At 44.3% G+C, this 24060-nt stretch overlaps 1 protein-coding gene across 48 annotated transcripts in view, besides 8 other annotated features; it reads left to right on the forward strand.

Annotated features, from left to right (window-relative positions):
• Positions 9383-9884: an enhancer, noted in NCBI's record as "H3K4me1 hESC enhancer chr7:50342269-50342770 (GRCh37/hg19 assembly coordinates)". NCBI's record gives its function as "activates a minimal SCP1, AML or CMV promoter by ChIP-STARR-seq in primed H9 embryonic stem cells {active_cell/tissue: H9 hESC(primed)}" and the evidence as "EXISTENCE:reporter gene assay evidence [ECO:0000049][PMID:30033119]".
• IKZF1 (IKAROS family zinc finger 1) overlaps positions 10165-24060 on the forward strand; it is a 101647-nt gene continuing 87751 nt past the window's right edge. For 14 of the 48 annotated variants that reach the window (XM_011515058.3, XM_011515059.4, XM_011515067.4 and 11 more), the window contains exon 1: positions 10165-10250. In XM_011515058.3, the coding sequence (XP_011513360.1) occupies positions 10193-10250 (58 nt within the window). In that variant the 5' untranslated portion in view covers positions 10165-10192. Of the gene's footprint in view, positions 10251-10773; positions 11241-11425; positions 11633-15409; positions 15617-24060 lie in introns of those variants that run through there. The other 34 variants (XM_011515065.3, XM_047419724.1, XM_047419730.1 and 31 more) reach the window with 5 other exon arrangements.
• Positions 10739-11538: a silencer, noted in NCBI's record as "silent region_18181". NCBI's record gives its function as "represses an Ori minimal core promoter by ATAC-STARR-seq in GM12878 lymphoblastoid cells {active_cell/tissue: GM12878}" and the evidence as "EXISTENCE:reporter gene assay evidence [ECO:0000049][PMID:35858748]".
• Positions 15970-16069: a silencer, noted in NCBI's record as "silent region_18182". NCBI's record gives its function as "represses an Ori minimal core promoter by ATAC-STARR-seq in GM12878 lymphoblastoid cells {active_cell/tissue: GM12878}" and the evidence as "EXISTENCE:reporter gene assay evidence [ECO:0000049][PMID:35858748]".
• Positions 18844-18993: an enhancer, noted in NCBI's record as "active region_25997". NCBI's record gives its function as "activates an Ori minimal core promoter by ATAC-STARR-seq in GM12878 lymphoblastoid cells {active_cell/tissue: GM12878}" and the evidence as "EXISTENCE:reporter gene assay evidence [ECO:0000049][PMID:35858748]".
• Positions 21210-21710: an enhancer, noted in NCBI's record as "H3K4me1 hESC enhancer chr7:50354096-50354596 (GRCh37/hg19 assembly coordinates)". NCBI's record gives its function as "activates a minimal SCP1, AML or CMV promoter by ChIP-STARR-seq in primed H9 embryonic stem cells {active_cell/tissue: H9 hESC(primed)}" and the evidence as "EXISTENCE:reporter gene assay evidence [ECO:0000049][PMID:30033119]".
• Positions 23164-23503: an enhancer, noted in NCBI's record as "active region_25998". NCBI's record gives its function as "activates an Ori minimal core promoter by ATAC-STARR-seq in GM12878 lymphoblastoid cells {active_cell/tissue: GM12878}" and the evidence as "EXISTENCE:reporter gene assay evidence [ECO:0000049][PMID:35858748]".
• Positions 23164-23765: a biological region, named in NCBI's record as "H3K4me1 hESC enhancer GRCh37_chr7:50356151-50356651".
• Positions 23265-23765: an enhancer, noted in NCBI's record as "H3K4me1 hESC enhancer chr7:50356151-50356651 (GRCh37/hg19 assembly coordinates)". NCBI's record gives its function as "activates a minimal SCP1, AML or CMV promoter by ChIP-STARR-seq in primed H9 embryonic stem cells {active_cell/tissue: H9 hESC(primed)}" and the evidence as "EXISTENCE:reporter gene assay evidence [ECO:0000049][PMID:30033119]".

Below are 24060 nucleotides of genomic sequence, written 5' to 3' on the forward strand. Positions count from 1 at the left end.
CTGAATGACCTGCCCAGGATTGGAGAGAGAATCATGACCCAAACCAGGTCTCCTGAATCTTCCATCCACCAAACCAAACCAAACCATCTCTGGTAACACTCTCTGGCTACTGTGCTTTCTACTCAAGCACACAAGGCCAGTGTTGACTCTCCAAAGCATCATGTGTTACAGCAGAGCCTCAAACAACCTCGGTGGGACTAACTGTCATAATCAAATTGACTCCAAAGGATATGGAACATAACTTTCTCAATCTGGGATCTCATTCGTCGCAATTCTAGAATCCCTCATGATGGACATCAGGGAAATGGAATTTAGTATGGCCCTGTGGGATAAACTAAAGTCTACTAAACAAAAGGGAATAGTGAGCCTGGGACTAAGAAGAAAAATAGACTTCAAAGGAGAACAGATGATGAGCTCTGGTGCTCACAGGAAGCCCCAGGACAAAGTTTCAGTCCCATCTTACCCTTGACCGGCCTCAGACCTTAAAGTAGTTGGTCTTTTGTCTGTAAAAAGACAACAGGATTGGGTCCTTAAGTGAAGAAATAAATAGTAAGTAGTTCTCCAGGTTTTCTGCAGTTATGTCTCATATTTGACAATCTTACACTCACCGACTTGACAGTCTGCTTTCACTAATCCATATGCATATAAGGTGTATATTACCCCCATGTCTACGAGATTCTCACTTAGCCAACGACATCTGTCTTTGAACTGTCACGAAATGCTAGAATGATTCTTTTTCTTTTGTGGTGTCAATTCCTCTTTCTGTCATTATTAACCTTGTTAAATACCCTCTTCCCTCCCCTTCTGAAAGGCATGAACTGAGTGCTAAGTTTCAAACATACCCCCTTAACACATCCAGATGGGGGGAAAAAAGCACATCTAGCTATCTACTTAATCAAACATCTACTTTCACTCCATCAACGGGGAGTAGGCCCTTTTGTACATTTAACAAATTCAAGCAATTTAGCAACTGGGTTAAAGTCTATGTAAAGTACTTCAACAACATGGGAAATGAAGACACTGGTCTTCTGTCTTAGAATTGGTTAATGGAAGACGTGAAGTCTCAAAACGCGCACAACAGTGGGTTCTTACGGAGCTGCCTAATGCACTGCTGGGAAAACCTTGAGAAGTTTTCCATCACGGGGGGAGGGGGGTTGACAGTTTTTGCCTTTGCTGTCAGTTCCACTGTGGGAGGCTCCTAAATTTATTATACCTGGGAAATGATTCTAGTGCAAACCCATCCTGAAAGAAGCCAAGAAGTGAGGCATGCAGAACATCCTTCTACAGGTATTATTGGTTCCCACCCCAAGTTACAGAGGCCAAGTCAAGGCGACTCCATGGGCCATGACCATGGGGCACTTTATCTAACTTGATCAAGGTGGAGCAGAGCAAGAAATTGGTCCTATTTGCCTTGCTACGTCAATAAGTTTTCCAAGCCTTAACTTAAAAAAAAAATTTACCTCATAAAACAGAATTGTCACAGTGGAGTGGTGGTATTTTCTACCAGCAACAATGTCTCTATAAAATGCCCTTTCTACTGAGTAGTCAAAATGCTCAATGCCACCTGTTAGAAGCTCACATGTCAAACAGTTTTTTGGGTCATCAAGAAGCAGCTGTATTTCTTTCTTAAAAAAATTAAAAATAACTCTCCTCACCTTGGGGGACTCCTTTACCTCAGTTTCCTCATCCATAAAATAAGAATAATAATGTGGTCCAACTTCCTGGGGAGGAGAAGATTGGCAAGCACTTTTTGCTGATGAGCTCAAAAGCTATGCAAATATAAATTATTGAGTACTGCACATATTGCCACACTGCTACCTGAGGTGCTGGGAGCTTTCACTGAAATCAACAGGAGCTCCAGGAATGCAAAAGAAATATGTACTGGGAGAGATGGGTCCAGAGCATTTTGGTGGTGCTTATTGAAGCACAGTGTTGTAGTGGAGGGGCAACTGCTAAGTGTATGATTATCGACCGCTGCATTTGGATTTGCTCTGAGAACTCTGCTATATCAGATAGTCCGGCTCAAAGGACATCAATCATTTGGTGCAACACTCTGTGTCTTATGGGCTTAATGGCCTTTGAATCCAGAGGGCCAAAAGCCGCCCTCTGAAGTGAGCAAAGGGCTCTTCAAAGGCTGGAGGAGTACGAGGAGGATGAACTGACTTTTGATTCACAAATAATAAATAACCTAAGAGTAAGATAATTAAAGTAGCATACAGGTTCTGACCTTCAAAGGATCAATAAACAAATGCATCTCCTGCTCTACACTTTAGCCATTGGAGCCAAATCCCATGGTTCTACCCTCAGTTTAGTCCCTCGGCTTAATCATCTTTTGATTGGCCATGGAATGTGTACCTAACTATAGTCAACAGTCTTACAAACATATATACATCCTGTATATCTATTTGTACAAAGAATTGGATCTTCATCCTGCATATTCTCTTTTCAAAATTAGCCTTTGTTTACCATCTATAAATCAAGACAACATTATTCCTTCTCCCAAAATGCAGGGTTATTCAATACAACTTGTTGGAAACAAACCGGCTTGGCTGAAAATGTTTATGAGCTATAATCATAGAAAATAAAGGGATATTATAATGAGAAGTCAATCTTTCAGTTTAATTGCAGAACACTTTTTAAGCTACAGAAAATTGTGAATTTGAGCTCTGAAGTGGAAATAAAGTTGCCAGTTTCAGACTGCATATCACAGAAAATGAATTCTTTTTCTTCATTAGAAAAACATATCTGCAAGTAATAAGATATTATGAGTAAATATTACAAGAATACATTGTACTGGGCTGTGTGTAGCTACAGAATGCATTATATCTTTAAATTATTTCTAAATCACAAATTTAGAGAAAGTCCTGCTCCTGGCATTACTAAATTATAATCTGTCTTCTTATCCTACAGAAATAAAGAGGTATCAACTCACTTAGGATAATTGCCTGATACAACCAGAACAGGATTAGGGAAAATTCATTATGGTATTGCAGTGTTGTATTTTAAAAGTATTCTCTGCTTCCTTTTTGAAAAATGGCTTAAAAATGAGCAGAATAATGCACATACAAGGAAAGTGTGAAATAAATTGTCAACTTTTAGTTGAAGGAAGGAAATTTGGAATATTCTGTGTTGAAGCCTTTACTGCTAAGACAGCATTAAATAGGTGAAGAAGCAACACTTCTAGTGCATGATCGCAGAGCCCCAGACAGGACAGAAGCATAGGGAGGGATGGGGGTCTTTCAGCTGTCAGGAGAGGAAAACACAGTCCCTCTGCATATTGGAAAACAAATGTGCCAACTCCTTGACATGTTACTTAAACAAAAATATTTTTCCTGTAAGTAAGATAAACCCTTCAAAAGTAGCACCATGAAATGGAACTATCTGCTGAATATCTGCTCACTGTTCTAGGAACTGTGAGGAAACAAAATAGAAAAAAAACCAAATCTCTCCTTTCAATGAGAGCAAACAACAAATGTTACCAATGAAAACCAGAGAGAAGGCAGGAGAAAAGCTAACGCTCGGGTGGGTCAAGGTCGTTCCCTTTCATGGAGAACAGACAATGACAACTCAACCACAATGATAATGGACCAAACACCTGAAGCCAGTAAGGGGGGTGGGCAGGCAGAAATCCAGGGGAGAACCTTCTAGGAGACAGCAGTAAGTGAAAGGCAGTGAGCTGGTCTGGAGCACTTGAGGACTATAAGGTAGGGCCAAGTGGCCAGAGACAGGCAAGTAAGTGGGAGAGTGGAGTCTGGCCTGCATTCAACACAGAAGCACCCCGATCTGACTCTGCTCTTCATCAAGCTCTCTCTGGCTTCTGTGAGGGGCAGGGGTGGAAGTAGAGAGACCCCTGAGGAGGACACTGCTATTTGCAGATGAGAGGTGACCAGCCTGTCTGCAATGGAGGGAGAGGAGGTCCGACCATGGACACCTGATACCTGCAGAGCTAGTGGGATTCCCCAATGGACTGGATGGTAAGTGAGAGAGAGAGGCATCAAGAATGACTCCAAGGTTTTGGCCTCAGCAATTGCCAGCTGGTATTCAATGAGATGAAGGGGTCTCAGTGAAGCAAGTAAGAGAGGAAGATCAGGGATTCAGCTGGGAGACAGTAAATATAAGTTGCCTATTAAGCCTCCAAGTAAAGGTGTTAAGGAGGTGGGAGAGTTCAAAAGGAGGTCTGAAGAGCAGATATTAATTTTTGGAGTAAGGGTACAGAGATGACATTGCAAACTGCTTCTGGAGAGGCCTTCAAGGAACTGACTGCGGAGGGAGACATGTCTGGAGAGCTGCAGCATTTTAGGAAAGAGGGGAGAAAACAGCCAATGAATAGCACAAGAGAAAAGCATGGCGAGTGGGGTGTCCTGAAGATCTACCTCACTGATATCGGGGTTCAATAAAATGTTCGTGCATTTTTTGGTAAATTTTAAAGTGCTAGATAAATGCTGACTTACTACCTTTGGGACCAGATGGACTTTGCTCCATCCATTGAGATCATTCTTTCCAGCTCTTCTTAGATTAAAAAAAAAATCCACTTTTAACTTAGTCAAGGTTAGTCCCAACTGAGAATCTGGAGACACATTCCTGGGAATCAGAAGCTCTGCCTACTTTTGACTTGTTAGATAGCACTTTCTGAGAAATCTTACAGCCACCCATAAACAGGGGAAAGGGAGAAGGGCTAACTCACATTGATTACTAGGTATTACAATTCAAGACTTATGTTCATGCTTTTGTTTAATCCAAACCACAACTCCATGAAGCAGGATTCATTTTCCCTGTTGCAGAAATGACAGTGTGATCCTGAGAGAGGTGACGTAACTCAGCTGAGTTCACGCAGTGCCCTCGCCATGCACCTGTGGTCCCAGTTACTTGGGAAGCTAAGGTGGAAGGATCCCTTGAGCCCAGGAGGTGGAGGCTGCAATGAGCCAAGATCGTGCCACTGCACTCCAGCCTGAGTGACGGAGTGAGACCCTGTCTCAAAAAAATAAATAAATAAAAATAAAGAAAAGAAAAGAGAGTTGCTATCATAATTCAAAAATAACTAGACTAAATTTCAGTCCTACTTGATAGGCTGGAAAGGCTGTTCACATATCTTACTCTTTCCTGGACAGGTCCATTCCATCTGACCTCTCTACCAAGACTGTTGCTTCTAAGACTGACAATTCGGCCTTAGGGGAAATAAAAAATTTAAAGAGAAGTGAAGGAAAACGCTTCCCACAAATTGGAGAAAGGTGTCTTAAAACAGCAGTCCCCAACCTTTTTAGTGCCAGGAACTGGTTTCATTGAAGATAATTTTTCCACAGAGGTCAGGAGGGGATGGTTTGGGGATGAGTCAAGAGCATTACATTTATTGTGCACTTGAGCTCTATTATTACTATTACATTGTAACATATAATGAAATAACAACTCACCATAATGTAGAATCAGTGGGAGCCCTGAGCTTGTTTTCCTGTAACTAGATGGTCCCATCTGGGGGTGATGGGAGACAGTGACAGATCATCAGCCATTAGATTCTCATAAGGATCATGCAACCTAGATCCCTCACATGTACAGTTCACAGCAGGATTTGCAATCCTAAGAGAATCTAATGCCACCATTGATCTGATGGGAGGTGGGGCTCAGGAGGTAATGTGAGTGATGGGGAGTGGCTATAAATACAGATGACACTTTGCTTGCTCACCCTCCCTATACTGGTCAGTGGCCCTGAGGTTGGGAATTCCCGTCTTACAGAAATCAGTTCTTGGAGAGATCTCATTTCTGTGTTGGGAAATGTGGCATAAGCAGGAAGAAAGAGGATACGTGTGGAGCCAGAGGAGGAGCCAGCATGATTCGCAAGGTAATTTGAAAAGAGAGGGCAGACGCATGGCTGAAATATTATAACTGGCCAAGATTTGTATCCCAGCCTGGTCACATAAAAACTGAATGCTTCAAAGTGCCGAACACTTACCCAGTGCTTGATATCTGCCAAGGAGCCATCAAAATGTCCTTAATGTGCACTAACTCATTGAGACCTCAAACATTTCCGAGGATGTTTGTGCTATGGCAATGTTCCCATTTTACAGAAGAGGAAACTGAGGCATGGAGAAGTCTAGTAACTTGCAGAACTAACTCCAATAGTTTGGCCCCAGAGTCTGTCATTTCACAGCCAGGTTCTGGGCTTTCCATCAACCCCCAGCGAGTCCCCTTCCCTGAGCTTCAGTGTACTCATGTGAAATGGGGACCACAGTGCTAGCTTTGCTGCATCGTTAGATGGGAGATAATGCCTGCATGCCTGTCACAGAGCTGGGCTCAGGGTGGGGTGATAATTACAATATTACTATTAATCTTGAGTTAATTCTCTCTTTTGAGACGGATGTTTCTAAGCTCCCCTGCCAGCCAAGTGTGGAGCAGAAAAGCATTTGCTCAGACCTCCTGTGTGATCTCTCCTCACCACCTCCCTCCTTTTGTCCATGAAGCCTCCCCCAGTTCTGGCAACTCTTTAGTGCTATCCTTTGTGTTCCATAAGGCTCATGTCAGAATTTATTATGACACATTTTGCATCAGAATGAAACTATTAATTGTCCACCGACTTTACTAGATTGTGAGCTCCTTAAGGGACAGATCTTCCTTTCTGCTTTCTTGTGACTACCTGCATCTCAAGAGCCACCTGCAATGGTACACTCTCAATAAATACAGGCTTTCTGAATAAATAAATGAATACATGCCACCAGAGTGTTTATGCTTCCGGAAATCCTGCTCCAATCCTGTTCCTATTCAAAGAATCAACTGGAGTGACACACAGCTCTGTTCTTCTTTGTTCTGATCTGTTCAGGTCAGATTAATATATTATTTTTTATTACTCATCAAAAACATCTTCAGAAACTTTTCATCAGAAAGATTTTTTGTGTAAACCTATCTATCTCCTCCAAATCACTATATCTGACTCAGTGTGATTTTTAGTCTCTTATAACCAAATGATATTGATAGAAATTTGTTGCTTTTGAGAACCTAAGTGTATTTCTCTTACAAATTTCAAAGGGAATAAAGTGAAAGTATTATCAGGAAGTGGGAAGAATTCATATGTCAGCTGCAGCCCATCCCTGATTCGAAACCTACAGGCAGAGATGTGAATGGTCAGTAGTGCTAAAGGATTTCTGTGGTTCCTGCAGAACCAGGAGACACTGAGGTGCCAAGACAGGGCCTTACAGATGTTTCAGGAAACCAAGCACCCAGAGGAGTATCTTGCCAGGTTCACCAGGTGCTTCCTACCCAGGCACTGCCAGCAGGACAGTCCTAGCTCTGCACCAGCCCCCTGCCTCTCCTCTGCATCCTGCTCCTTCACCCCCAGCAGCAGGCGGGAGCTAGTGGACTATGCTTAGAAATAGCCAAACCAACGAGGGAGCCCAAGAAAAAGGATCGAGGACCTCTCACCAGGCCAGTGATCATTACTTTTCAAAAACAGCAGAGGCAGAAGCTGGAAGTCATGAAAACTGGGAAAAAGAAACCAAAGAAACAGTGTCTTTGTTGCAACAGTTTCATCCAAGTCCTGGGTATATAAATAAAATAAAATTTTATTTTTTAGCAAAAAAAACCTTTTGCTGTTATTTAAAAATATTCTTGCTGTTTTCCAACCATCAGAGGAGACATGCACTTTTCATTGCTGTTAACAGATCTTTTTTTATTGAAGAAAAATACAATTATGATAACTTCCATAGATTATTTCATTGAATTTCACGTAATTCTATCAAGACCATTGTGAAGTAGATGTGCTCTGCGGATGAGAAACTGAAGCTCAGGCTTTAAACAACTTGCCAAACACAGTTACTAAGAAACAAAACTATTAACCATATCGTATCACCTCAATCATCCTTTTACTTTCCTTTGAAAGTAAAAAACTCACTCTCTTTTGAAAATCCCATCCAGGCTCTACCTGGACAAAAGTGCCTAGCTGCCTCTCTTTCCATAGTGAGCTCTGAATAAGTAGCCTTTGATTAATCCTATAGGTGGTCTCTATTCTTTCGATAATACAGCCTCATAAGAAGAAAAATTGGTGATTTAGCAATTATTGCCTGAATAAATTAAAGTGTTTTATTTAATACTTTAACATTATGAAGAGGGCAATATATGAATTAATATGTAAATAAAATAAAATGACTTTAGACATAATATGAAAAAAAACAGTTTTACATGTTCCAATTTCTCCCTATATGTTTTCCCATCCATTGTGCATTTTACTGTTGTCCCTAAGGGTTTGAACATTTGATTTATATCACCTCTCTGGTCCCTCTGAGTCTATCCACAGACCCCAGGTTATAATAATATAAGCTTGACTTCCTTCAACTCCACCCGGTTGGGGGCAAGGGTAAGGCATGGTACCTGCAGCCTGACTGCTGTTTTGTTTTGTTTTGTGACAGGGTCTTGCTGTGTCGCCCAAGCTGGAGTGCAGTGGTGTCAATCATGGCTCACTGCAGCCTCAAACTTCTGGGCTCAAGGGATCCTCCTGCCTCAGCCTCCTAAGTAGGTTGTTGGGACTGCAGGTGCATACCATAACACCTAATTTTTAAATTTTTAATACAAATGGGGTTTGATTTTTAAAGTTTAAAATTTTTTTGTACAAACAGGGTCTTGCTTTGTTGCCCAGGCTGGTCTGGAACTCTTGGCTTGAAGTGATCTTCCCACCTTGGGCTCCAAACTCAGGTGTGAGTCACTGCACCCAGCCAAGGAGCCTGACTCTTCACAGTGCACTCCTCATCTCATTGGGACATTGGTTGGGCTAGCAGGGAATAACTGTTCTTACTTGGAAAGTACTCCTCTCTGTCAGGCATGTGGCAAGGTCTTCCATATGTGATCTCCTTAACCCACAAACAACCCCACCAGGAGGGTTATATTATCACCACCAATTTACAGATGGGGAAATTCAGGCTTTGAGAGATTAAGGACCTCAGTCAGATTCATAAGCCCAAACTATCTGGGCTCTTAGCCCCACATGCTCCTGCCTCAGTGGGCTACACCTTGGTGAGATGCCTATGTTTCGGTCCACTGGTCCACTCCTGAAGACCAAGGCACAGGTTTAGAGAGACGTACCAGCGGCTAAAGGTACTTCTGCATCCAAGAACTAGAGGTGTCCCGTGTCCCCTTTACAACATTGTTGGCCTCCCTCTGGGCCTTGTACCTTATGTTTATTGCCTCATTTAATCCAGGTAAGGAGTCTTTAGGATTGGTGGCATGTATTCTTTTTATAGACAAGGAAGATGATGCTCAGGAGTTTGGATAACCTGCCCAAGGTCACGCAGTGGAGGAGAGGACTAGAAGGTAAATCAATGGACCTTTCACTACCTTCCCCTTCTCTGGGCTGTAGCAGTGAGTTAACTGGCTCAGACTTGCCCAGCGGAATGCCCTTCAGGACACACTGAGTACTGTAGTAAGAGCTGCATATGCGCTCAGGGAGAATGTGGATAGACGCTGTTTGTGATTCACGGGTAAAGGGCCTTCTCCCAGAGGCAGCAGAGGCAGATCCTGTCTCTGGTGTGCCCTGGCCCCCGACTTGGAGGCCTCCTGGGCCAGGCCAAGACCTTCCCCGGCAGCGATGGTCTCCAGCCACACTCAACTGCCCTGAAGGGACATTTCCTGCTTATTCCCTTGCCCGGCTGTGTCCTCCACCCGGAAGGCCTGTGCCTTCTTCGCCTGCATGTCCTACCCTGAGGAGGCTCCCTTGGTCTTTCATCGCTCTCCCTATGGGTCTTCACGCCTTCCCGAACCACCGCGCCCAAGCAGGAGCACGTTCTCGGCCCTCTTCACAGGGCGCTCCTCCTCACAGGGGTGCCCGGGATTTTTATTCTGTGCCTTCCTGGTGGCTCCTACAAGTCTGGAAGGGCAGGAGGCGCATCTCACTCCTCTGGGTCCCCTCCCCTAGCGCCTGGCGGGAGCCCAGGCTGCATTTGTGGAATTCATGACTTTTTCTCTCCTGCTCAAGCTGAACACATTGCTGGCTCCTGCTCGGGTGGAGCCCGGCTAATTAGAGTGAGGGGCTCCCCGTAGGGCGAAGGGGTGCGCTGTCAGATGTGGCATTCCCGTTTTACGGAGACACACGGTGTCTTACACGCCAGGGAGAGGTCTGAGACGCAAAGAGCCGTCGAGCGGGCTGCGGGATTGCTTCGCTGTCACCTCCGCCTGCAGCCACCCTTCCGCACGCACTTGTGTGTGCACCCAGGCCAACATGGAAGGCGCCATCCTAACTTCTGCCGTGAGCAGGTGGGAGGGAAGAGAGACGAGAGGTATTCCATTGGTTGTCTGGGAAAATGAATTGCACCTTCCCCTCCCTTGCGGAGGATCAACTTTTCCCACCCCCTCGGGTGGGCACTCGCATCCTGGGGCCGGAGCCTGAACCCGGGAGCCAAGGGGCCCCAGTTCCAGGGACGTGAAGCTGAGCGTACAGCGGGCGCTCCCAGACACTGGGGAAAGTGCTTTACGATGTCCCGAGTCCCTCCAGTCTCGCCAGCGGGGCGAGCGTGAGGGTGCCCCGACCGACCAGCGGCCCCGGGTGCAGGGTGGCGGGCCCGGCGGCGCGCGTCCCCCTCCCCCTCCTGGCGGCCCGCACGTGTCGCCCGCGCCGCGCCCCCACGGGTTACGCGCGGGTCCCGCAGCGCCGCGGCCGAGCCGGGCTGCCCGGCCCGCGGACACAGCGCCGGCCGCCGCATCCCGTGCGGGGCCGCGGCGCGATGCTGCGCTGGAATGAGGAAGCGCGGCGGCGAGGGGAGGGCCCGGGCGCGGTGCGCGCGGGGGTGGCGGCGGCGCGCCGAGCGGGCCCGGCGCGGGCGAGCGGGCTGCAGCCGGCGGCGGCGCCAGCAGGTACGGCCCGCACCCGCCGCCGCCCCGGCGGCCTTTGGGGGCTGAGCCGGAGCCCGGCGCGATTGCAAAGTTTTCGTGCGCGGCCCCTCTGGCCCGGAGTTGCGGCTGAGACGCGCGCCGCGCGAGCCGGGGGACTCGGCGACGGGGCGGGGACGGGACGACGCACCCTCTCCGTGTCCCGCTCTGCGCCCTTCTGCGCGCCCCGCTCCCTGTACCGGAGCAGCGATCCGGGAGGCGGCCGAGAGGTGCGCGCGGGGCCGAGCCGGCTGCGGGGCAGGTCGAGCAGGGACCGCCAGCGTGCGTCACCCCAAAGTTTGCGGGGTGGCAGGGCGCGCGCTCTGGCCACCCGCCGCTCTGGGCGGCAGCTGGTGGCAACGCAAGGGCGCGGCGGGGGCGGCCGGCGCGGAGGGGGCCAGGTACGGGGCCCGCGGGCGGCGCTGTGCGCGCGGGGCAGCCGGTCGGCCGGGAGCGCGAAAGCCTGGTCTGAGCCGGCTGGGGGCGGGGAGTGTGGCGGAGAAATGGGGAACAATGCGAGTGAGCAACTTCAGGAAGTCATTGTGAAAGAAAGCTGGGAAGAGCTCCGCGGCCAAGTTAGCAGGACACTCTAACAAGTGACTGCGCGGCCCGCGCCCGGGGCGGTGACTGCGGCAAGCCCCCTGGGTCCCCGCGCGGCGCATCCCAGCCTGGGCGGGACGCTCGGCCGCGGCGAGGCGGGCAAGCCTGGCAGGGCAGAGGGAGCCCCGGCTCCGAGGTTGCTCTTCGCACCCGAGGATCAGTCTTGGCCCCAAAGCGCGACGCACAAATCCACGTGAGTGTTTTCAAATTGAATTTCAATAGGAAAACTTGGGGTAACTGGTGAATTTAAAAAAAAAAAAACACAGTAAAGAAAAGCGGTAAGGTTGGTAGACCCTGGTGTCGCTCAGGTCCGCCTCTCTTTTCTGAGGACAGTGAGAGAGTTCACTTCTGTCAAGCGTCTGTTGCTCTGCACTGTGCCAGCAGGTGCAGGACCAGGCCGACATGGGACACTTCTGAGCAGCCCCGCTGTCACCAGGAGAGGAGTTCTAGCTCCCAACCATATTTAAATTTATGTAGACCTACATATACCCACGGAAGTCAGCCTTTATAAAGTCGTGTGTAAAGAGTTTTCCTTATATTTGAGCCGGGAGCTTTCTTTTTATACTATAAATATGATGAGATCGAGTCTGAACTTAATTTCTGCAAGAGAGGAATTATCCCGGCTTTGAAAAGTTAGTCCTTTTGCTGACCGCAGGTTTGACGCTCAAGTCACCAAACCTTCTCAGGAAAACCCTTAGTAATATTAAGGCATCAGGTTACTTGCGGTTATATTTGAAATGTATTTTAAATATTTGTCAAGCATCGCTGCTGATGCCTAAGGAACCTCGTGAGGGCTTGTTTTTCCTTCTAATTTGGAGGCATCTAATGACCGAAAACCGTAGCGATTCCATAGGGTCTGACCAGGCACAGCTTTCAAATGCAGCTTCCCTCTCTCTAGGGACTGCAGCCCACCCAGACTGAATTTCAATGCGGTGCGCTTTGCTTAGGTTACCCACTCACAATTTCCCACTGCGCCGCAGGCAGTATATTTCAGCTTTGAGATACCTTGTTTTAAAATTCCAGACAAAATGGTGTTGAGGAAATGTCTCCTTACTAGTCCCATCAACTTCTGTTAAAAGAGGAAAATTTATGGAATTTGAAAATACTGCGTATGATATTTAAACTTTCATAGACATTCAAATGCTTTTAAGGCCAGGTTCAATTTGGTTATGAGTCGAGGGGTGGGGGGGACCCACATAGAAATGTCCTGGGTCCTCTTGAGTTTATTTCTTTGTTTGAAGATGTTTGTTCAATGAGTTTTATTGTACTCATCTTTTATATGGAATTTTAAAAAGTAACAATTTCAGTATTATTTATATTAGAATGTGTCAGAATTATTTCCGTGACAAATCAGATCATTTGGGCTATGGCTTAAAATGTACACGAGGCAAATATTCATGACAAGAAGATTCACCTTCTTACGCTGGCATCTTGTAAAATGCAGAACAAGTTAAAGAAATAATGTGTACACATACAAATAATGATGTCACATTAAAAATACTACACTATTCTTGCTTGATGGAATGTATCTGATTTCCAATTTCACCATGAACATATTTCATACATTTTTTACATGAAAAAAAACGTGACTCTTAAGTCTCACAGTCAATCAGAGCTGGTGACCAGAACATTTTATTGAACTAAATGGTCATGTTTTCTTCCCCTTTTGTTTCACGGTGAGAGTTGAAGGAAGGAGTTTAGAAACTCTCCAGTACTTGTTTAATTCATCAGTGTTCTAATTAGAGTGGTACCTCTTGGAAAACTACACACCCCCCTAATGCAGAAACATCATAGCAATAATCACCCACCCTCAGGGTCTCCAGGAGACCACAAGGGCTGCAGATAAAAGTCTGGATGTGTTAGGTTTGACCCTTTCGAAGAGTTTTACACAGGCTCCTAAAGAGAAGATCAGCTGTGGCCGTTTGTAGCCATTTCCTTTGTCGAAAAACTAAGATCGCAGTGAATGTATTAGCCAAGAGGTCTAAAGCCCTGTTGTACTGCAGGCCACTGTCTTCCTTGTTTGACTAGAGACTTGGAGTTTGAGAACAGTGGTTCTTTGGTTTGGATACATTTTTTGTTCTTGATTTGGATGTGTGTGTTTCATGCGTGGTTAATATAGCATATTTTCAATATAAATGTCAAAAATTTTGAAATAGGAAAGAACTCTCTATATATTAATGTACTTATACACACACTTCAAGATTATGCATTTATTAACAGATACATGAAATAAATTCCATGTGCATATGCACATATGCACACAGAGCGTGCACACACACAGCATGCACACAGCGTGGAGTGAGAGGCATGGGGCAGTGTGGAAGAGTTTTAACATCAAACAGACCTGAAATGAGTATTAAAGGCCCCCTTTATTTTTAAACTTTTACTAAAACAAGATGGATTTCCCTATGTTATATAATGGTGAATTTTAGGCATAAATAACGTTTTTTGAGTGTTGCATAATTGTACGTATTAATGTAATGTAACTGTGGTTAACGAAGAATTCATCAAGGATATCACTGTTTTGTGGCATTTTTTTTTTCCTCCTCTAATCTTTGGACTTGTGAAATAATTTCACTATGAAATAAATGTTGGTTCTTGTCATATTCTAAGGGAGATTGATGTAAGTGGCTCCACTCCAGCTTACAGAAGGTAAACCACGACCTTTTTGCGTTCTCTGAAAACGCTTGTCTTCCGATGCCTCTGTTTCTAAGACTGACAAGCACTCTGGGGGCACTGTGACGCCTGCTTCTAGCGGCAGAGTTGCTGCAGCTCCTGTCCTGGCTGTGAACATTGTTCTCTCTCTGGTGTCTCTATGTTCATAACTACAGAGACTTCAGCTCTATTCCATTTCATATTTGTGCTGAATAATCATTCCATTTTATGGGAGAAAACACAAGATGTAAAAGCAACAAGTGACCCATCCTTTGAAGCTTACAAGAAGAGAAACATTAATCTATTTCACGTCTTGAAAACAGATCAGTTTTATTTTGCTCAAAAAGGGCACATGTACATTTTTGATCTAGGTCTTAGAAACGTAGAGTTTCAGAGGATCAGCATTATACACACTGTCACACACACACACACTTAAAATTCAGATGAGGAACAAGATAGGAATGAGGTTTTGTTAGGGACGCAGAGCACCTAAAACCAAAGGATATCGACAGTAACAAAGCTGTTTTTACTGTAGTGCTGACTGAACACTCATGCTGGTGTCTTCATGTGGACCATGGCTTTCTTGTATTTCTTTGCAGTTTAATAAATGACTTCATATCTCAGGTTACCTTTCCACATCTCCTGGAATATATGTTTATGTCCTTAAAGTTTCAGTGTCGTCACTTTAGTAGCTTTAGTTTGAGTTTTTAAATGTTTGGTAATATTCCAACAAATATTTTTTAAGACATTATGAAACCTTATGAAGTGCCATATATTACAAGTGAGATAAAACAGCAAGCAAAAGAAGGTTTGCAGAAGGTTTTTAAGTGGCGAAGTGCGGGCCTGCCCATTTTGGTGTCTCCTTGGTGGTTACTCCTGAGAAGGGCCTGGAGGAAGAGCAACTGAGGCCTAATCTACAGGCAACTGCCAAATTGTTTCAGTTGACGTTTTTCCCTCTCATGTTTGACTATAATAAATAGGTAGTTGCCAGTGGAGCCTTCAGCCAACCACCTGGTAATAAACTGTTAAAAATGGTGCAAACCCTAGGTCACAGGTGTGGGGGCCATTTGTCTTGCCTGTTAACAGGCCTGGCCTTAATTCTTTTCTCCCATGGCCATTTCTGCCTTTGGGGAACTCACAATTCCTGTTGACTAAAAGAGCACCCTTTTCCACCACAAGCCTGACAAATCAGACGTCCACATAATTTCTGAACTCGTTTTGGTTAGGACAGGAAGCACAGGCTCCCTTCCTGTCTGTGTTTTCCTAAGAGAAAACGGTCTTCCCTCCTTTTTTGCATATTTGGCAAGTGGTTCCACCTTTCTCTGCACCCTGGTGGAGTGTGAAGGCAGCAGAGGAACCTTTTGGAGGAGGAAGAGGACACAGAGGCCCTGTAGCCAGGCACCAAGATCCCTCCCAGGTGGCTGGGTCTGAGGGGAACTCCGAGCAGCCCTAGGTCCTCAAAGTCTGGATTTGTGTGGAAAAGGCAGCTCTCACTTGGCCTTGGCGAGGCCTCGGTTGGTTGGTGAGTGCCACACGGTTTCTTTGTGTGCTTGCATGGATTGGAATAGCCATTGTGTTCTTCCGTCTTCCCTGCTGGTGTTTCCACAGTGGGTGGCCTGAGCCCAGAGCAGCTCCCCATATCCCTGTGCAGGCCACCTGTCTCGGGTGATGGAGAGCATCATTATGCTCCGTCTGAACGCTCTGCTTTCGGATGGCCCCATGCTCCACCTCCTGATAGCTCGTGGCGCGGGGCCACGGCTTAACAAATGGCTGAAAATGGGTCCTAATTAGTGGAAAAGTGCTTTCTTCATATTTTCTCACTCGAGTGTGCAGTGATTCATTTTTCTTCTGCAATCAGCTCACTGCTAAAGTAAATCTGACTCTCTTCCCGCCATTGCACACCAAAAGTTAACTCTAATGGGTAGGAGGTTAGGTTTGTTGAGAGAGCAATGCAGTAAAAAGAGGGGATCCAATGTGGTCTTGTCTGTCTGGTCTTCCTTTCTTCGTTTTTTCCTCCCTTGTCTTCTCTGTCATTCCCTTCCCTCCATTTGCCTTGCCTTTCCTGTCCTTCCCTTCCCTTCCTTCCCCTCTTTCTTTCTATAATTGGTGGGGGGTTTGCACAGACTGCCAAAACACTAAGAACTGTGTAAAGTGTTTTTGAATGGCCTTACACATATTGAAGTAGATTTTTATGCTCCATTTTTGAGATCACACACTAAAATCTATACCTTTAAAGCATTTTCTGTTAGTTTGAAACTATTTGAAAATGAACAATGTGGTTTAGATTAGAGTCCTGTTCTGAAGCTAGGAGTTCCACTATGAATATTGATTTATCAGTTTTTGACAAATTTTTGTTGTTATACCAGATTTTCACTGGCAAACCTAGAGCAAATAAAATTCCACATAAGATACTTCCCTAGACCTAATGGGAAAAATGTTTAATTTAGAGTCTTTAGGAGAAATGAGAATGAGGAATTGACCTTTTGTAAGCTTACTTCTGAGGCACTCTGAAGTGTGTTCCAGTGCTTTTAATGGAAACTAGAGAGAGCCAGCAACCCCCTAGTGTGAGCCCCACTTTTAACCGGAAAAAGTGACCTTTTCCTCCTCCTTTGTGCTGAGTTTTGCGTAGGGCAGAAAATTAAGCTGATATTCAAAGAGATTCACTGCAAAAACATATTGATAAATCGTATATTCTATTTCATTAAATTAAAACCATACTGCTAATTATCTCAGGTTGTTAAACATAAGGCAATTAATTATCATTTTAAAAGTTGGTAGGAAGTTGTGAGTACTTTTGCAGTATGAGTGTTTTCCCGCTTTAGTATGAGGTTGTGTATGTTTGCTTGAATTTACAGAATTTTCACTTTAAGAGCAGACAATGTTTTGTTAAAGAAATGAAATTTGCTAAAAAGGAGCATGTAAAGTGAAACATTAAAAATAAATAATTTCAACTTACTTAAGAGCTGCAGAAAAATCTGATTGCTGTGTTTAAAATGAATTTTCCCACATTTCGCTCTCTTATGGACAGGAGCATTTTCTGTCAGGTTATAAATAAAGACATGCCCATTTTTTGTACCCCCACAAATGAGGAAGTTGTAAGCTCTCTGAGGTTTTACTGATGAGCCCCCTCCCCCTGGGTTTGCATGAAGAGATCATAGGCCACAAATAAAGGACTACAAAATGGGGTCTAAACTATCCTGGTGGGGCCTGATACCCACGTTTCGCATGGACCTTACGATGTGATGAATGGTTTTGGCATGAGTGTCTTAAGAATGCTTCCAGATTCGGGTTACAGGACAGCCAGCGCTGAGCTCCCTATTGCAGAACAAAGTAGGAATCTAGAACTTTCTTGCTAACAGGATCCAGCTAAAACACCAAGTTAGATTCTTAAATGATGTTCTTTTCTGTCATTATTTGATTGTTGTCAGTAGCAGTAATTGTTACCAAGCCATTGATGCTTCTATTCTTCCCTTTGCCCTTCTGAGACACAGCTCATTTTGACTTCAGTGGAACCCCTCGAAGGTGGGGTGATGAGCAAGGTGAATTTTCAAAGTAAAGCTACTAAGAGACCAAACTACAATTTAAGGAACCTGATTTTTGAATCAAATTCCATATACTGTGGGTATAGTTCAACATAGATTAATTTCTTATAGTTATTATGAAAAAAATCTCATCTTGATGATAGCTGATAATTTTGTGGGTGTCGTAAACAAAACAGAGGTCAGAATTCAGTCCCTTGGGGAAAATTTCCAATTAGTAGGAAACCAAGTGGCCTACCTTAGTTTGAAGACACCCATCAGGATGTCTGCACCTTTTCATCCTCTCTGGAGGAAAGACTAAATACCCATTATTGTATATAGGTCAGGCCAAAGCAGCCTTTTATATTGCAAGGAATAAGAGGTAAATAGATATATGTGCAACAATGAATCCCCTAATGTGTTTACTCTAGAACACATGTTCTTTCTGTATTTATATGTAGATTTTGTAGATCTTGTCTTACCACCTGCTAATGGTAGATACTGTATCTAAATAAGTTGAGGAAAATTTATAGTACCTAGGAATGTGTCCTCAGTGGGCCAATCAATCAATCATGACTTCAGGTTATTTTTAATAAATATACACGTATGGGTTCATAAACAATGGGATGTTCTTGTGAAGATCTAAATAATTTTACTTCTTTGGGACTAAATAAAATATAGCTTTTGCCAAATAAACTCACACAAGCACTTATTTTAATAGAAGTCAAATGGCTTTGCAGAAACTTCAGTTTTACAGGTGCATTGTTTGAAATGTTACGGGTATACAAGTGGATTTCTCTATTATGTACAGTGTTAAGTTTGAGTTTCAAAATGTCCACCTGAAATGATTTACTTGTACGTTAAGATAATTTAACTGCTAAGAAGGCAAGATAAAGCATTCTTTGTGACACCATATGGCCTTGCTGAGGGAAAAACTTACTGTTATAAGTTTGTGTTTATCTCTCTTTTTAAAAAAAAATGAAGAAAAAAACGTTTAAAATAATGGGAACACAGCAGTTCCTGGGGTCCTCTGTCTCTTTATCTTATTATAGTAAATTACCAAAAAAATAATGACCTGGGGCATGTCTGTGTGGACCCTTCTTTTAGAGGCAGTTTCTGTGTTTTGTAAAGCTGTAGGTTCTATTTTCATTGCACTTCATATTGCTGCACAGCTCCTGACCATGCATGAAGGTCCTCTGAAATCGGTAAGAGGGCAGAAGAAAATGATTCTAAACTTAGATTTTTTTAACTTAAGTGATGAAGTGTGAAACGCCATTTATATTTGAGGAAGCTACCTAGGAAGTGGCTCATGTCGATGGCCCAAATCAGAAGAGGGCCTGTAAAAGCTTCTATCAATTTTGACTGTGTATGCTTCTACCATGGCGGCTCAATAAACAGCAGTATTAGTTTAAGAGTGGATGGTACAGTAGTATAGACGGGAAGCCTCTCCTCTCCGTGTGAACCGTGCACCCCTATGAGAGGGTAGAGACAATACAATATGCCTGTAACGTCAGGACAGACAGTCATGGCCAGCTTGAACTCCAGCCCTGGGCTTCTTGCAGCAACAAACGTGAACACAGAGGACTGTCTCCAACTCCACTTTCTCTATTTTTAAAACAACTTTTTGAATACAGTATCTGCCATCTTTTCTTATACCTCACTTTGAAACAGGTGGCTCCACTGTGGCATTTAAAATGTTCTGTTTCTTTTCCCTCTGTATCAAATACCTCTTTACCAAGAAAACATTCAAACAGCATAGTTTTTAACTGTATTTTGAAAGGTTTCCTTAGTTCCCTTTGACCCTTCCTCTTTTGCATATCAGTTCCTGGCCATAAAAATAAAAAATGCTAGGACAGAATTGCACATCTGAGCTGATTTGCCCTCAAAAAGTTTCACAGTGGAACAAACCGCAGGAGGAGTTTTCTGTGGCTCAGTTAAATGTCGGGGGAGGGTGGTGTGAAAGCCAAATTGGATTCCTGCTTTCCTGTTTAAATCTTGTTTTTCATTGTTATTTGCACCAGCAATACTCTGTGGAATAATCATGAAAATGTGTAGATTGGCAGCTAATTTTTGAAAAATGAAAAGAATCAGAAATGAAATAAGAGTGCTCGGAAGTTTTTATGTTCTCTCAACCTGTTTTGTCAAATTGTTACGAAAACCTATAAGGTCTCTTTGACTAGATACAAAGACTTTGCACATTGCCTTAGCTTTCTCTTGAAGCATTTCCTTTTTTAAAATACAGTGTAATTCACAGTGATATGATAGATTTGCAAAAGTAAAATCTACCAGTCTGAAGATGAAAGGACTTGTCTCTTAGCAGGAATAATGGGTTTTATTAAAGAGGTCTGTGACCTAAGGCATTTTAAATAAATTACAGGCTTGGTCCCTGTCTCCCCCATGTATCTACTCCCTTCAATATAAGCATCATTGAGTATTTAAGGAAATAACCCCAAATGTAACTCTAGTGTAGCTTCACTTGTCAGGGAGGAAAAAGTAAATAGCATACATTTGGCCAAATAACCAGAACTTTACTGTAGAAGTTTTATGATGAAATTTGCCTTTAGTGCAGAGTATTACAAAGATCATGTTTAGTTTCTAGCAGTATATAAGTAGCATCCATCCTTATCTGTCATGCATTTGGAGTGTGCGACCCCTGCACTGGGCTGCAACATTCTGATGGGCAAGAGTGCTAGGGAGAAAGAGGCATCACCATCAGACTGCACGGGTTCAAGTGTCAGCTCTGTGGTTGATTAGCTGTGTGACCTGGGGAAAGCTATTTCTCTTAGCCTTGGTTCTCTCATCTATAAAATGGAGATAATGATGCAGATGCCTTGGGTTTAATTGGGAGAGTTAAAGACACATTTACATATTTAGCAAGTAGGTGTTGAATTCTAGCTCTACATTGGACACTATGCCAGGTGCTCAAATAAACAAGTGGACAAGACAGACAACACCCATGGTCTTATGAGGCTTAACCATTTGCCTCTTCAATGCCAGAAACTTAGTAGGTTGATTAGATAAAGCCAGTGAGTACCAGTATCCTTTTCTTTGCAGCCTTTTCCTGGCACACTAAAAATACTCAGTACATATGAAATATCACTGGACAAAGAATCCCCCTTAGAGTACCAGTGGAGAAGGAAGGCATTTGCTTAAAAGCAAACCAACAGAAAGACATTGTAAGGCAGTTGTTTAAGTCTCAGAGACCTATAATTTTTTTCTTTTTTCTTTTTTTTCATCTCGCTCTGTCGCCCAGGCTGGAGTGCAGTGGCACAATCTCAGCTCACTGCAAGCTCCACCTTCCGGGTTCATGCCATTCTTCTGCCTCAGCCTCCCAAGTAGCAGAGACTACAGGCGCCCGCCACCACACCTGGCTAATTTTTTGTATTTTTAGTGGAGACGGGGTTTCGCCGTGTTAGCCAGGATGGTCTTGATCTCCTGACCTCATGATCCGCCTGCCTCGGCCTCCCAAAGTGCTGGGATTACTGGCATGAGCCACCACGCCCGGCAACTACAATTGTTCTTAAAGCTTGTAGAATTACTGTGTGCTACCAACAGACAGGCTAATTTTGAGTGACCCTCAGTACTTTGTACAGTTAATTTGGCACGCTGTGTACTTAGTGGCTTTTTAACAGCTATAAATTTGGGCTGCTAGAAAAGTAGTAAAGTTGTGATTCTTGACAGGCATCTATCTGCATTTTCATTTTTACTTCATTTGTCTAGACTCAGCTTGTCAGAATTATGGAAGAGACTCCTTGTGTCAGGGCAAGCACTGTGAAGAGAGGTATTCACTGTCAGAAAAGAGAGGGGAGCTGGAGGCAGCTCAGAGGCCTGAGACCCGCCTCCACAGGAGCCCCAGCAGGTTCGGTGGAGCTCTGGCCACACTCTCCTTTGGGATGCTGAAGTCAGAATGAGTTCACTTCCCAGCCAGTCTTGCCAAGGCTCCTCACCTGGAAGCAGCAACTGCCCAGGGCTGTTGGATGTTTCTCCCCAGGGGACAGCCAGGTCCCAGTCCCGCCTCGGTGTGGAAGGAGGAAAGGCAGGGTCCAGGAAGCTGTTTCAGGACAGGCCCAAGGTCCCCCAGGGATGCCTTTCAGGGTCAGCGGAGGCTGTAAATCAGCAGGGCCCACACGGCCTGGAAGAGGCCCCTGTGCTGTCGGCTTGCCCGGCTTGCCCGGCTCCTAGTCCGGCTTCTGCTCCTCCTTTGTAAAGTTATGGATATGCTAATAGTTTCCAACTGAGACTAGGAAAGTAAGTCCTACTTGACACTGTTTGGTCAGAAAGAGGGAGAGAAAGGAGAAGGACAGAGAGAGACTGAGAGAGAGACAGTCTCAGACAAAGGGAGACGGAGGGAGGGAGGGAGAGACAGAGAAAGAGATGGGAGGTAGGTGTGGGAGGAGGGAGAGATGCAGAAGGCAGAGGAAAGACAGACAGAGATTTAGACCTCCCAAGTCAGTGAGCAGTCCAGAGTTGGAGTGGAGGGTGCCTGGTGGCTTGTGACTGCAGACTCCACTCCCCGCTCCTAGAGGCACAGCCATGGACAGCTTCTGTCACGTTGGCCCTGCACTTATCTCTGCATCTATTTCCCCTTGTGCAAGATTCAGAACTGCATGCTCCAAAAAAACAATAAAAGCATTCATGTTCATAAGAATTGCACAGGTAAAAGGTAGTTTGCTGATATTGTTGTATTTTTTACTATCGCTTCTTTTAGGTCTTGCCTGAAATTGTTTGGGTTTCCCAGGCAAAGTAGAAAACTGCGGTACGTTTCTGTGAAATAATTATTCCTTCTGGCATCTCCCTTTACAGACCTACTGATCTTGATTTTTCATTTAGGTGAAAGTTTGTGAAAACATGCCATTAGCTTGCTTTGTGATTAACTCCTTTTACTGAATGTGAGCTCCTTTTAAATTGAGGCCATATCAAGCTTAAATTCCATATTTTACCCGGCACTCTGCATTTCTTCCATGTGGGAGAGGAGGGGCTCAGTAAGTGCTTTGTAAAATACACAGCCGAAGTGATGCACGTGCTAACAAAGGAGTGTGACAGGACTTAAGTGCCCTTCTAGACACTTCAGGCTCCCCTTTGTAAGCTGTCTTGGAAGAGGCCACATTTCCTTTCCCTCAAACAGTTTCTCATTGTTTGATTATTCTTTTAGCCTTTCTCTGGAAGCAAAGCCACTTTTACGAGAAAGTCACTGCTTTTTCATCTCAAGAGATGCAAGTTTGGAGTTTGGGGAAGTTTTCAGGTGCCCGTCAAGTCATCCTTTATGATGTCAGACGAGTCAGGCCACAGAATTCACAGGGCTCAGTGCAGACCGAAAACTTGAGGCCTCTTGTTCAGAAATTATTAAAAATTTTGGTGAACATCACCCCAAGCAAAGAGATCCCCTAAGCACCAGCCCCCAAGCAACTGCACTCATAAGCCCATGAAGCCCCCTGCTGTCAGAAACAATGTGGTTGAAATTGTGTATGCACTTGGAAGTGAGATGGATTGCAAAACACAGGTCTCCATGCTGGGGCAGGAGTGGTGATAGGGCATGGAGTGGAAATGTCCAGCAGGCCCACGTGCGAAAATGCAGAGCTCTCTGGCTCTTGCAGACTTGGCTGCTGACAATAGACGCGCTCCAGGAAGGTGCTCGCTGTGGTGTGATCTGCTGCCCACCCCTAGCTCCCTCCAGGAGACTGGTGCGGGGACTGTTTGCAAATGACTGCAAAAGTAAGAAGGTTCCCACAGAGCAGAGCTTGATTTGGGGACCAGCCGAGGGCAGTTTGTCAGGATTCCGGCTTGAAACTGTTCTCACATCTCACCGCCTGAAAGGACGAGTGTGTCCAGAGGACTTAGCATTGATCACCTCTGTCTCCATGCAGCAAACTCAGAGGCTCAGCCCGCATTCCACTGGAAGGGCGTTTGCCAGTGGTGTTGGTTGGAAGAGCCTTGACTTTGCCTTAGGAAACATCTTTTTTTAAGAATTGAAAATAACTTGAGTATGCAACAGTAGGGCATTTGTTATATAAATTAGTTGACTAGTGTGTAGCCAGTAAAATGATGATGGTGGTGTGTATTTGTTAAATAAAAAGATATGTGTGGTATTAAATTAAAAAATATTTTAAAACAACATATTTGTAATCTGTTTAGTGTCCTCTTTTTGTAAAAAGTACAGAAATAAATATACAGAAAAAATAGTAGTCCTAAGTGGTAGAAATTATGAGCATTTTCTTGCCTTTAAAAAAAGTTGTAAAAGATTGTATCATTTATGTAGCAAAAAGTTTTAAGTCAGCATTCTAAAAATTTCGTGTTGTTATAGTTGCTGTGACAAGATTTAACTTCTGTATGCTTCACCAATCAATACAGAGGTATTTAAGACCCGGTGTGTGATAGGCCGCGCTAAAATACTATACACATCTTCAGAAAACTAGAGAACTAACTTCTAACTTCCTATATTAGTGTGGCA

The sequence above is a fragment of the Homo sapiens genome, chromosome 7, assembly GCF_000001405.40.
Source record: "Homo sapiens chromosome 7, GRCh38.p14 Primary Assembly".
NCBI lineage: Eukaryota > Metazoa > Chordata > Mammalia > Primates > Hominidae > Homo > Homo sapiens.